Below are 12,180 nucleotides of genomic sequence, written 5' to 3' on the forward strand. Positions count from 1 at the left end.
CTGGGAGGCGGAAGCTGTAGGGAGACAAGATCGCGCCACTGCACTTCAGCCCGGGGCGACAGAGGGAGATCTCAAAAAAAAAAAAAAAAAAAAAAAAAGGTAGGCTGGCATTCAGTGTGGTTCACTGCAAAGGGCAGGAGTTTTACGCAGGTTCTAGTTTTGGCTCTGACACTAAGTCGCTGCGTAACTTTGGGCCAAATGTTATCTTTGAACATATCTTCATTCTCTATAAAATGAGAATTATCATCCTAACTTCGCAGTGTGGTTGTGAAGACTCAATGATTTCATACTTGTAAAAGCATCTATGACAGGCCTGTACACAGAGTAGAAGTTGAATAGATAGTCACTGATTCAGTGTTCTGCATTTTCAAATCCCAATGCAGGGGCATACTGTCGTAGCCTCACAACTCCCACTGTATCAGGCTTGGATAATCTAAGGGGAGTGACATCGTATAGCAGAAATGTCCCTTCATTAATCAGTGCTTGTCTCAAGAGTGATGTCTTTTTAAAGAAAAATCAGAAGAGAAAGTGCAGTGGTATAAAAGGGAGAATAACAAAATTCCAGTTTGGGGTTTACCATTGTTGACTGGTTGACAGTCAATGTAACTATTCTCAAAGGTCAATTAGTTTTTGTGGGAAAAGAGAAACACTGAGAGGACACTGCATGCAGTGGGTTGGAACCCTTTCACAACTGACTTACAAGTAGGAAACAAATATTTATGGTGTGCAATTTGTTTGAGTAAAAATGCTCTCCTTATTCCTTTATGCTCACTGCCCAGCTTGCCTCAGTTTCCCTATTTGTAAAGAGGGAATGGCAGTACCAACTCCCAGGGTTGCTGTGGGGATATGGGAATACAGTAAAGGTTCTTATGACAATGCTGGGACATAGTAAGAATTTAATAAATGTAATTGGTTGCAGCTATTGTTGGTATTTGGCTATTCTCTCTCTTTCCACACATGAGAAAATATGCTTATCCCTTTCACTGATGGTAAGAATGACAAACACAAATTTCTATTAATACAACTTGTCCTTTAGTTCTCTAAAACTGCATGGATGTGGAGTCTGACCTGGTAAGGCCTTTTAGATGCCAATTCAGTCAGCCAAGAAGGAAGGATTAGGGTCTAAGAAAACAATAGAAGGCCCTCCTGCCCTGTAGCTCATCTGTCCTAGATGTGCTATTCTTAACAGACCTCTGATCTGGGACTCCAATGCAGATCCCAGATCCTTATTTTTAACTTGGGGAAAAAGTGTAAAGGTATGAAAAAGTACAGAATAATAAAATAGACATATCACTTATGAATGTTAAAATTGTGTCATATTTGCTTCAAATCTTTTTTTTGTTTGTTTGTTTTTTTGTTGAGATGGAGTCTCGCTCTGTCACCCAGGCTGGAGTGCAGTGGCTTGATCTCGGCTCACTGCAAGCTCTGCCTCCTGGGTTCATGCCATTCTCCTGCCTCAGCCTCCTGAGTAGCTGGGTATACAGGCGCCCGCCACCACGCCCGGCTAATTTTTTTGTATTTTTAGTAGAGATGGGGTTTCACTGTGTTAGCCAGAATGGTCTCGATCTCCTGACCTCGTGATCTGCCCGTCTCAGCCTCCCAAAGTGCTGGGATTACATGCGTGAGCCACCGTGCCCGGCCATTCAAATCTTTTTAAACTAATTTAAATAAACACGTACTGGGCACTAAGAAATGAAACACAACTGATAAAGTTCTCACTCCCTTTGTACATCTTCCCAATCCTGTGTCCCCTGTTCATTCATCAGATATAACTGCTGCAATCAACTTGATGTCAAGCCTTCCAGTCTATGGTTTTATATATTTACATGCAGATATTCACAAGCAAAAATAGTTTTGTACGTTTTAAGGATTTATATGCACTATAACGTAGCACACTTATCTTTCTGCAGCTTGTTCTGTCATTCAAGATTTTTTTTTGAGATCTATTCATGTTGACACGGCAGCTCTGGCTCATTCACTGTAACTGTTGTATAGTATTCCATCTTATGAATATTCCATATTGTCATTTGTCCACCTCCTTACTAATGGATATATTCGGTTATTTCCCATTTTTCTGCTATTACAAAAAATGCTGCTTTATACAAATCTCCTTATGTTTATTAATGAGAATTTCTTTGGGAATAAATCTCTGTGGAATTGCTACATTGGGGAATACATTTTTATTTGAAAACTACCACAAAGCTCTAAAAATGTATGGAACTTGCTACTGTCAGAATTGTTAAATTTTGCCAAGTTCATGAGTCTGACATGGTTTTAATTTGCAATTCCTTATTACTACTGAAGTTGCGTATGTCTTTAAATATTTATTGGCTATGCAGGTTTCCTCTTCAGTGAGCTGCCATTAAATAACCTTTACCCATGTCTCTAATGGATGGCTTGTCTTCTGTTTATTGATTTATAAGGGTCATTTACACATTCCTAGTGCTAATCTTTTGTTATATACACTGCAAATAACTTCTCCTCCTTTAAAAAGAAAAAATCTGTATGGTGTCTTCTGTCATCTCAAAATTTTCAAACTCTGATGTGGTCAAATGTCACTTTTTATGGTTTGTGTTTAATCTTGCTTAAGAAATTATTCCTGCCATAACCTCTATTTTCTAACAGTTCCAAAGCTTAATTTTTCTTTAGGTTTTTAAATGATCTCAATTTATTTTTGCATATTGTTATCAGGTAGAGATCTAATTTTATTTTGTCCCATATGAAAGGCCATTTGTCCCAACATCATTCCTCAAACAGTCCTTTCCACACTCATTTGTAGTGCTACTCCTCTCTTATAGCAAGTTCCCATATCTGCACCAGACTTTCTCTTTTGGCCTCACTAATCTAGTTGTCTATTCCAAACTTTCTGCATCACTACAGCAAACCACAGATGTTTTCCTCTTGTACATATCAATGAACTAAAAGTCAAAGACTTGGGCTCAGGTTTCCAGTCGGCTACAGACATGTAGAGAAGTTACTTTTTCTGTGCTTTAGTTTTGTTATCCATATCATGTAGAGTTTATTCTATTTTTCCACCTGGCTCCTGCACAAGGTTAAGGTCTTACCTATGAAAGAACTTCAAGGCCATAAGTTGTTCCATCATATTATTAAATAGCAGAACATATTCTCCTAATGGCTGACAAAATTAATTTTCACATCTTTTTACACAATTTGGATAAATGTTTCCTATACAAAAAAAAAAAAAAAAAAAATGTAGAGGAGACTAGGATAGGGCCTCTATAGGGTCACATAAATTTAGGTTTAATCCTTAGCTTTTTCTACTCTATGTACTAAACCATGGACAAATCCTGGAAATTTAGTTGCACATGCCACATATTTTCCAATGGAAAAAGGATAATCAAATATTCCTCAAACAATTACAAAATACAGTCATCCTCTGTATGCATGAATCTGCATCCGTGGATTCAGCCAATCACTTACTAGTTTATGACTCTGAATGAAATAATCTCAGTCTCAGTTTCTTCAAACATGGGAAAGTGACTTTACATGCCTGTTCATTTATCAGACAAGTATTATTTGAGCATCTACTGTCTGCAGGTACCTTTCTAGTGCTGAAGTTACAGCAATAAAGAAGTTCTTGCCCTTACAGAGTTTATATTGCAGTAAGGGAGACAGATAATACACAAGTAAACAAAGATAAACAAGTAACTAATAACATGCAATTGAGACGACGCCCTGAAAGTGTTCTATAAATGGAAACATACTAACATATGGTATTCTAACTTACTATCACTAGGAATGTGGTAGAAAGTTCCTCTGGAGTTGATCACAAATTAGAGGTGTAATTATTTTATTTGAAATAAGCTGGTAGGGAATCAAGCCATACCAGAGACCCAGAAACTTCATTCCATTTGGTTCCAAGTACTCCTCTAGCCTTTTCTTCGACCAGTCCCTTACACAGTAAACTTCATTCCAGCCAGGCTGGTCTATTTACTGCCCCTAAATGTCTACCTATCTTGCCCCCTTCTAACATTCTCCCCTCCTAGATGACACAAAGTCTATTCTCCACTTATTTAGTTTTTTACTCCTACACTATTTAAGTGTATTAAGTCTAGGCAATTTTTACTATTTCCAAACTGACCGAGAAAAAGTTAAAAAAGAAGTTATGTGCATATATGCATTCTTTTCCTCATTATTTCCAACACAATACACGAATCCAATACACTTAAGAGTTTCTGATGTATTTAGGATTTTCATAACTGAAATAATGAGAATGCAGTGTGTACAACAGAGGATGAAAGATATATTTTCTTAAGGGTAAATTTTTAGGGGTTAAGGCTTTAGATTAAGCACTGTTGAGGAGCTCAAGACAGGCAATTTGATGTAGGTGGTTGGGCAAATAGCTAAGGTTTAATCTGATTATGTAGAGCTCTTAAGATTTTCTGAAGTTATGTTTCAAATCAATGAAACAATTTTCAAAAAACATTCAGTTTTATGAGTGCATAAGTGAGAACCATTCAATAAGAAAAGTTGTTTTGAAACAAGCATATAGTTAAGATTTTCAATTTTCACTGATTAATAAAACTCATGTAACCCGAAGAGGAAGAAACAAAAATCAGAGAATAAAACCTTTATCACTTTTTTTATCCTCCCCAGAAGAAAAATCCTTAATGTCGAAACTAAAATCCATCATGACAGGAATATGAGAATTTTTAAAAATGTAAATACATGTGGATTAATCAAGATTGTTTTATAAAAATCTCTATTCCAGGCATAGAGAAAAAAGTTAGGATTGTAAAGATAAACATGATTAAGTTTCTGTGGGTAGCAGCCACCAGTTTTGAGTGTTTACTATCAAGGAATCTTCACTATGTGTGAGTATACATATTTTAGCCATGAGAATACTGATATTCAAATGACTAAACAATTAGTAAGAAGTGGAGTAGGGAACTGAATCCAGGAGTGTGTGGTTAAAGAGAGAATTTTTCAGAAGCTGGCAATATGAAAATAAGTGGAAAGAAGTGACATATTAGTTCAGCCCCTTTATAACCTCCCTATCCAGTCTCTCCCAGCCCTGTATATTATGAAAATAAGATTAAACTTCCTAAATGATATTTTCATCATTTGACTCCCCATTTCAAAAGCCTAATTGTTCTCTATTACCTACAAAATCTAGAAGAAACTTCTTAGCCTCAAATTCAAGACTCTTTAAAATTTGACTTCTCTCTCCTAGCATAAATCCCATTATCCTGTTGGTCCACAAACTTCACACATTTAAAAAACACTTACTGCCGGGCATGGTGGCTCACGCCTGTAATCCCAGCACTTTGGGAGGCCGAGGTGGGTGGATCACTTGAGGTCTGGAGTTGAACACCAGCCTGGCCAACATGGTGAAACCCCATCTCTACTAAAAATACAAAAATTAGCCGGGCATGGTGGCACACACTTGTATTCCCAGCTACTATGGAGGCTGAGGCAGGAGAATCACTCAAACTCAGGAGGCAGAGGTTGCAGTGAGCTGAGATTGCGCCACTGCACTCCAGCCTGGGTGACAGAGTGAGACTTTTTCTCAATAAATAAATAAATAAATAACAAAAAGCACTTATTAGGGCTAAATGTGGTGGCTCAGGCCTGTAATCCCAGCACTTTGGGAGGCCGAGGCGGGTGGATCACCTGAGGTCCGGAGTTCGAAACCAACCTGGCCAACATGGTGAAACCCAGTCTCTACCAAAAATACAAAAATTAGCCAAGCGTGGTGGCATGCGCCTGTAATCCCAGCTACTCTGGAGGCTGAGGCAGGAGAATCACTTGAATCCAGGAGATGGAGGTTGCAGTGAGCCGAAATCACACCACTGCACTCTAGCCTGGGTGACAAAGCAAGACTCTTGTCTCTAAATAAATAAATAAATAAATAAAATAATAATTAAAAACACTTACTGAGCACCTAATCTGTGCTAGGCTCTGTGAAAACAGCCTTGTCCATAAATTGCTCAGAGTATAGTGTTCCATAAATATATTTGTGTTACTACTTTCTGGGGCCTTCACCCAGTTATTTCTCCTAAATAGACTGTTCTGTTCTACACTACATTCCTTCCTTCCCTACATACCAAAATCCAACCCCTTCATGAAGCATACACAAAACGATTTTGCTAGAAGTTCTTCCCATTCATTTGGACCCCTAGAGCGTAAGATTTCAAATTTGTGTGCACTTGATTGTTGGTATACAGATCCCTAGGCCCCTCCTCAGAGATTCTCATTCTGTAGGTCCGACCTCACGTAGCCTAGGAATGTGCATTTAAATATATCTGTCAGATTCCTAGGTCCATGCTCCTTCTATCCATCCTTTCACACAATCGGTTTCATCATTTTCTCCTCTCACTGAATTGACTGCTGAGTACTGTGGTGTCACACAGACATAGTCTTGATCTCAGCTTTATTAATCCCAGTGATGTTGGCTCTTTAGCTACCAGCCACCTCTTGGTCCTGAACACATTCTTGCCATGATAAAGAATAAAAGTTACCTATGCTGTAGGGTCTAGATTTTTTTGTCATAATATTACTAGTCGCATTATTAGACTAAGTCTTTCTATTGGATGGAATGGCACATGGACACGGAGGCACATTTACTGGACTGAGTGGTCCAAACACTGCTGACTTGTGAAGTATGCTTGCACTGGAAGAGACAAAAGAATCTCTTTTTGTACTACAGATTTCATGAAGCAGGGGCTGTCTTTTATATTTAAATTGACAGTGCTTACACACTGCCTCTAATTGAGCAGTACTGAGCACGTGCTGAATGAATGAACAATGAGTGTATCTAATCAAAAAAATGACTGAGGCAATGTATTTGCATGTCTCGAGAGCAATTTTAAAGAATATGTATTCAACGTAGAGAGCATATTTCTTTCCTTCAAAAGGAGAACAAATGCAAAATATTAATTCCAAAGTTTACACTAAGGACTTAAGACTGTTACAGACATATGTTCTGTCTTACACGAAGCAAGTACTGATGAGATTAGTGTTACGAAAGGTATTAAAATAGGGTGTTTCTGCTTACTTTTAAAATTGTAAACAGAAAGTCATTTATGAGATAGTAAACCTAATTTACAAAAGGAACATGATAGCATTTTAGTAGCAGTGGCAGGACTTTAAAAGCTTTGATGTCATAATCCTGCTATTTTTTAACAGAGAAACATGGCTTCCAAAATATAGTGAAGCCAGTGTGGTTGCTTTGTATTCTTGAGTTTGATGCAGACTTCAGGCAGTAAATCTCAAAATGACTTGTGATATATGCCATTTTTTTTAGGAGTCTGAACACAGAAAAGGCCAAAGGAAAGGGGGCATTCTCTTCCTTACAAAGGAATAACAATTCCCTGGGCTCTGGAGATTGAGATGTGAAATAGCCCACATGTACCATTTCGACTGCGTTGCCCCGGAGGAAAGCACAGCCAACTGAGTATTTTTCTGACATCCCAAAGCACGCTCTTCAGCATAAATTCACCACTGACATTAGAACAGTCATGAAATCTGCATTTCCAAAAGTCAAGGAAGCTACAGATCCAAGAGAATGTCTTCCCTGTAACAATTTCAGGAAAGCTTCTAGAATGGGAGCAGAAAGGATCAAGGTATTGGCTTCCTGTTTGTCCCAGCATGCCTTGGAGAACACTCTGCATAGACCTTCCAGAGACAAAATAGAACATCAGTTGTTCAGAACTGAATTTTCAGGAAAATTGAAAATAGCCTAATTTTACTTTTGCCTTATGGACATATTCTGTTTTCTTCTTTCAAAGCATGAGTTAATTTTTTTTTTTTTGAGGAGGGAGAGAGATGGAGAGGAGAGAGAGAAGGAGAGGGGAAGAGAGATGGGGAGAGAGAGACAGAGGAGGCAGAGAGGGAGAGAGAGACAGAGAGGGAGAGAGAGACAGAGGAAGAGAGGCAGAGAGGGAAAGAGATAGAGAGGCAGAGAGGGAAAGAGACAGAGAGGTAGAGAGGGAAAGAGGCAGAGAAGGAGAGAGACAGAGAGGGAGAGAGAGACAGAGAGGCAGAGAGGGAAAGAGACAAGAGAGGCAGAGAGGGAAAGAGAGAGGCAGAGAGGGAAAGAGAGGCAGAGGAGGAGAGAGACAGAGGAGGCAGAGAGGGAGAGAGAGACGGCATGAGTTAACTTTTAATCTAACTCCTCAGTGTAATGGTCAATGAGCTCTTTGACCCTGCCAAAGAAAAAAAAGGCTCCTCCCCATTGTCATAATGCATGTTAAACTCCAAGATCTCATTAACCAAATTCTGCTTAGTCACGTGGAAAATTCAACAGATTTAAATCTTTAAAGTATTGGAAATAAAACCAAATAGTAAATACCATATATGATATCAAAATTTTTGTGTAAAGCTACTGCTGTTCTGATTAATGTTTGAATACTACACTCGTTCTACTAAAAAAAAAAAAAAAAAGTGATGGCCTTACTTCTCTTGAAAATTACTACTATAAGGGAGCACTGTACCAGCCACATGCTCAGTACTGCTCATTTATAGGCAGTGAGCCCTCAAGTCACTCAGGCCACTCAATGTTCTTCTATGTCTGTGTACCATTTTATCCAAAAGAAAGCTTTGTTCCCCTTAAATTATATTAGTCAGTGGATTAAGTTTGATAAGTACATATGGATGTTGTTCACAATCACCTCCATTTCAAATAATATTTTCCTTTGCAGGTTCCATTTTCTGTATATATGAAATGAAACTTAAGACTTTATATATTTAATATGTTTAAGTGTATATATGCAATATATGTATATATCCATATCTATCTATCCATCCCTGTAATTTATGGGAAAGAAACTACATGGGGAAGTCACTCTGATTTTTCCATTTTCATATGTAATAATGGGGAAAAGTACTACTGCCTTTCTCAAAGGCTAAGGCTATATGGAATAGCAGAAGAGGTGGTTATTTTGGATTGAGAATATTTAGAGCTGGTTTTGCTACCTCTAGTATGTGACCTTGGGCAAATTATTTATCTTCTTTGAAACTGTAAAGTAGGTATGTTGCTACAGGACTTGCCTCTCACAAAAGTTTTTTTGTGAGGCTTCAGAAAGAGTTAAGGTGGATTAAAATGCATTGAAAAACATTCAACTGATTAATAAATGTAAAATAGTATTATTATACAGTACTTGAATCATATTTAAGTTATGCTAACTAAAGGCCACACATATATGTAAAGTAAAAATAATTATTTATTCAGCATGGTGTGCGCCTGTAGTCCCAGCTACTCGGGAGGCTGAGGCAGGAGAATCGCTTGAACCCTGGAGTCAGAGGTTGCAGTGAGCCAAGATTGCGCTACTGCACTCCAGCCTGGTGATGGGGCAAGACTCCAGCTCAAAAATAAATAAATAAATAAATAAAAATAAAAATAAAATTACTCAGCAAATCCATATATCATAGCTTTGTTTATATTTTAAGATAATCATTTTTAATTTCAGCAAGAACTTAATGCTATAAGTATAGATTTATCTAAAAATAGAAATACATATGCATTTTAATTTCATTAAAAACTTATGATGAAATATGGATTAAATTATTTAAAAATGACATAACCTGGCCCTTTCCACAAATATGACTATGAAGTGTAAATATGCTGTAGGAATACATATTATCATTTACTAAAAGGTTACACAGGCAAATGTGTATTGATGAAGCAGCTGTATTACTGAAACATGCTCAAACTGAATTGTGATAATTAAATAATTTTAAATTTATCAAGAGATTAATGATTAAATGGTTCCAAGTGCTATGTAAATTAGCAAACTGCTAGTTTTAAGTGCTGTGGAAAAAAAATAAAGCAGTGTAAGAGGATCAGGTGTGGTACATATCCAACTGTGTGTGTGAATATGGTGTGTGACATATGGTAAGGCAGGTTCCAGTTTTAGTAGAGTGGTTAGGGTAGGTCTAATCATGAAAGTATTAAGCAGACAGACATAAAGCTCTCTGGGGGAAAGATGTATACAGCCAAAGGGCAGCCAATGTAAAGATGCTGAGGCCCCATTTGATTCTAACAAAACAATCTTGTGACAGAGATAATACACCATTTAGCAAGTGAGTAAACAGTGTCTCAAAGCAACTTAAGCAAGGGAATGGAGCTAGTAAACAATAAAGCTAGGGCTAGAACCCAGGTTTCTTGACTCTTGGTCCAGTGCCTTTCGTTTTCTCCCTCTGTTCACCAGGCACACAGGAAGGTGCCCTGTTTCTTAGAAAGCACTGCATAAACATCAAGTTTCATTGCTATTGTGGTGGTGGTGGTGATTGTGATTATTAATCAGTTCCATGATATTTCTCTGTTACTATTTTTTAATTTATGCATCATAGTTGTACATATTCCCAGGGTACATGTGATGTTTTGGTACATGTATACAATGTAATGATCAAGTTAGGGTAACTGGAATATCTATCACTTCAAACATTTATCTTTTCTTATGTTAGAAATATTACAATTCTCATCTAGCTATTTTGAAACATAAAATAAATAGTCATATAATTTCTCTACTGTACTACAGACTACTAGAATCGATTCCCTCTGATATTTCCTGAAAGGAAAATAAAACTCAAAGAATGATTTCATCTTCCCTTCCCCTAGCTTATTTTTCTCCTTTATCTGTGCTTCTTTTCTTGAGTGGATCATTTTACTATCAGACTATCTGTGAAAGTAATTATACTTCTCTGGATATTTGACAAAGGAAAGGTATTAAGGGTAGGAATAACCTATAAAATAGAAACCATTTCTGACAACATGAAAAAGGGCTGAGGAAGGAATGGAGAGAATGTGGAGCCCAGTGATTCAGCGAGAGATATACATTTTCCAAGAGACAGGAAGTAAAAAAGTTAAAACAAAGAGTCTACAAAAGAGGAGATCTGTAGAAAAGGCAAAAATGGTGGAAAGGGGGCTCAAGGGGTGGAGGAAAGAGATTTTGAAATATTTTCAAGTAAAAATATGAGAATATTAGACAACAAACAATATAAAATAAAAAAGAGAATAAGAATCAGATTTCAGACACAGTAGACTGAAGAGCTGGTGGAATTACTAACAGCAAAAGAGAACAGAGAAGAGAGTCTGAAAGATGAGTAGCTTTCTTTTTGTAATGCTGGGTTTAAGGTGGCAGTGAGGTTCTCACTAGTGGAAAGGGTGTAAGAGCTTTAAGAGGTAAACTTGGAAGTTGTGTACAATCTAGAGCTCTTTGTCCAATACGGTAGCCTCTAACCACAGGTGGCCACTGAGCCGCTGAAATACGGCTAGCCTGAACTGAGATGCACTCTAAGCATAAAATACACACTAGATTTTGAAGATTTTCTATGAAAAAAAACAATGGAAAAATCTTTTTCTGCATTGATTACATGTTGAAATATTTGCATGGATTGGGTTAAATAACATTATTAAAACTAATTTCACTTGTCTCTGTACTTTTTAAATATGATTAGTAGAAAACTGAAAATTACATATGCGATTTATGTTATATTTCTATTGGACAGCAATATTAGTTGTATATTAAGACCACAAAAGGGACAGAGACATCATTCTGAAGTGTCTCAACTAAAATAGATATGGGAGAAAAAAGAACACACATCATTATAATAGTTAATATTTACTAAGCACTCCAAGCACTGTTTTAGACACATAAAGGGCACCATCATATTTGTTCCTCCCGAAAACCTTATGAAATATTATCATCTTTTACAGGATAAAATACTGAAGCCCAAGGTCACACAGTTAAATGCTGGTGTCAGGATTCAAGCCCACGAATGACCTCAGATCTCAGGTTCTAAACTGTCACATAAATTTCAGAACAAGTTATGCTCTCCAATTATTAAATGGTTAGATTTAAAATGTCATAAATTAACTATTTATTAGAATTGTTCATTGTCAAAGTCAGTTATGTCCCAATTCAATTAAGAAGAAAAGCTACAAATGCGTGAATCTGTAACTGTAGAATTACTATGAGCTACTGATGCTGGCGTATTTTCACCACATTGGGCCATTAAAGAAGTTTCTGGTGCAACTTCTTTCCCCTTATCAATGTCTACTCCCAGAAATGCAAACCTGTCAAGTTAGATGATACATATCCAACTGTCCAACCCAGACGATCATCCACCTAACCCTGAATAGCAGGGCCCTGTTTTCTGAACATAACTAGATACATAATATCTACTTGACACATTTTCAACATTCTCTTTCGGAAC

At 37.2% G+C, this 12,180-nt stretch overlaps 1 protein-coding gene across 1 annotated transcript in view; it reads right to left on the minus strand.

The window, feature by feature from the left end:
- Nucleotides 1-12,180, minus strand: part of ELOVL2 (ELOVL fatty acid elongase 2) — a 63,547-nt gene that overhangs the window by 48,392 nt on the left and 2,975 nt on the right. The window lies entirely within an intron of this gene.

Source organism: Homo sapiens, chromosome 6 (assembly GCF_000001405.40).
Source record: "Homo sapiens chromosome 6, GRCh38.p14 Primary Assembly".
Classification (NCBI taxonomy): Eukaryota; Metazoa; Chordata; class Mammalia; order Primates; family Hominidae; genus Homo; species Homo sapiens.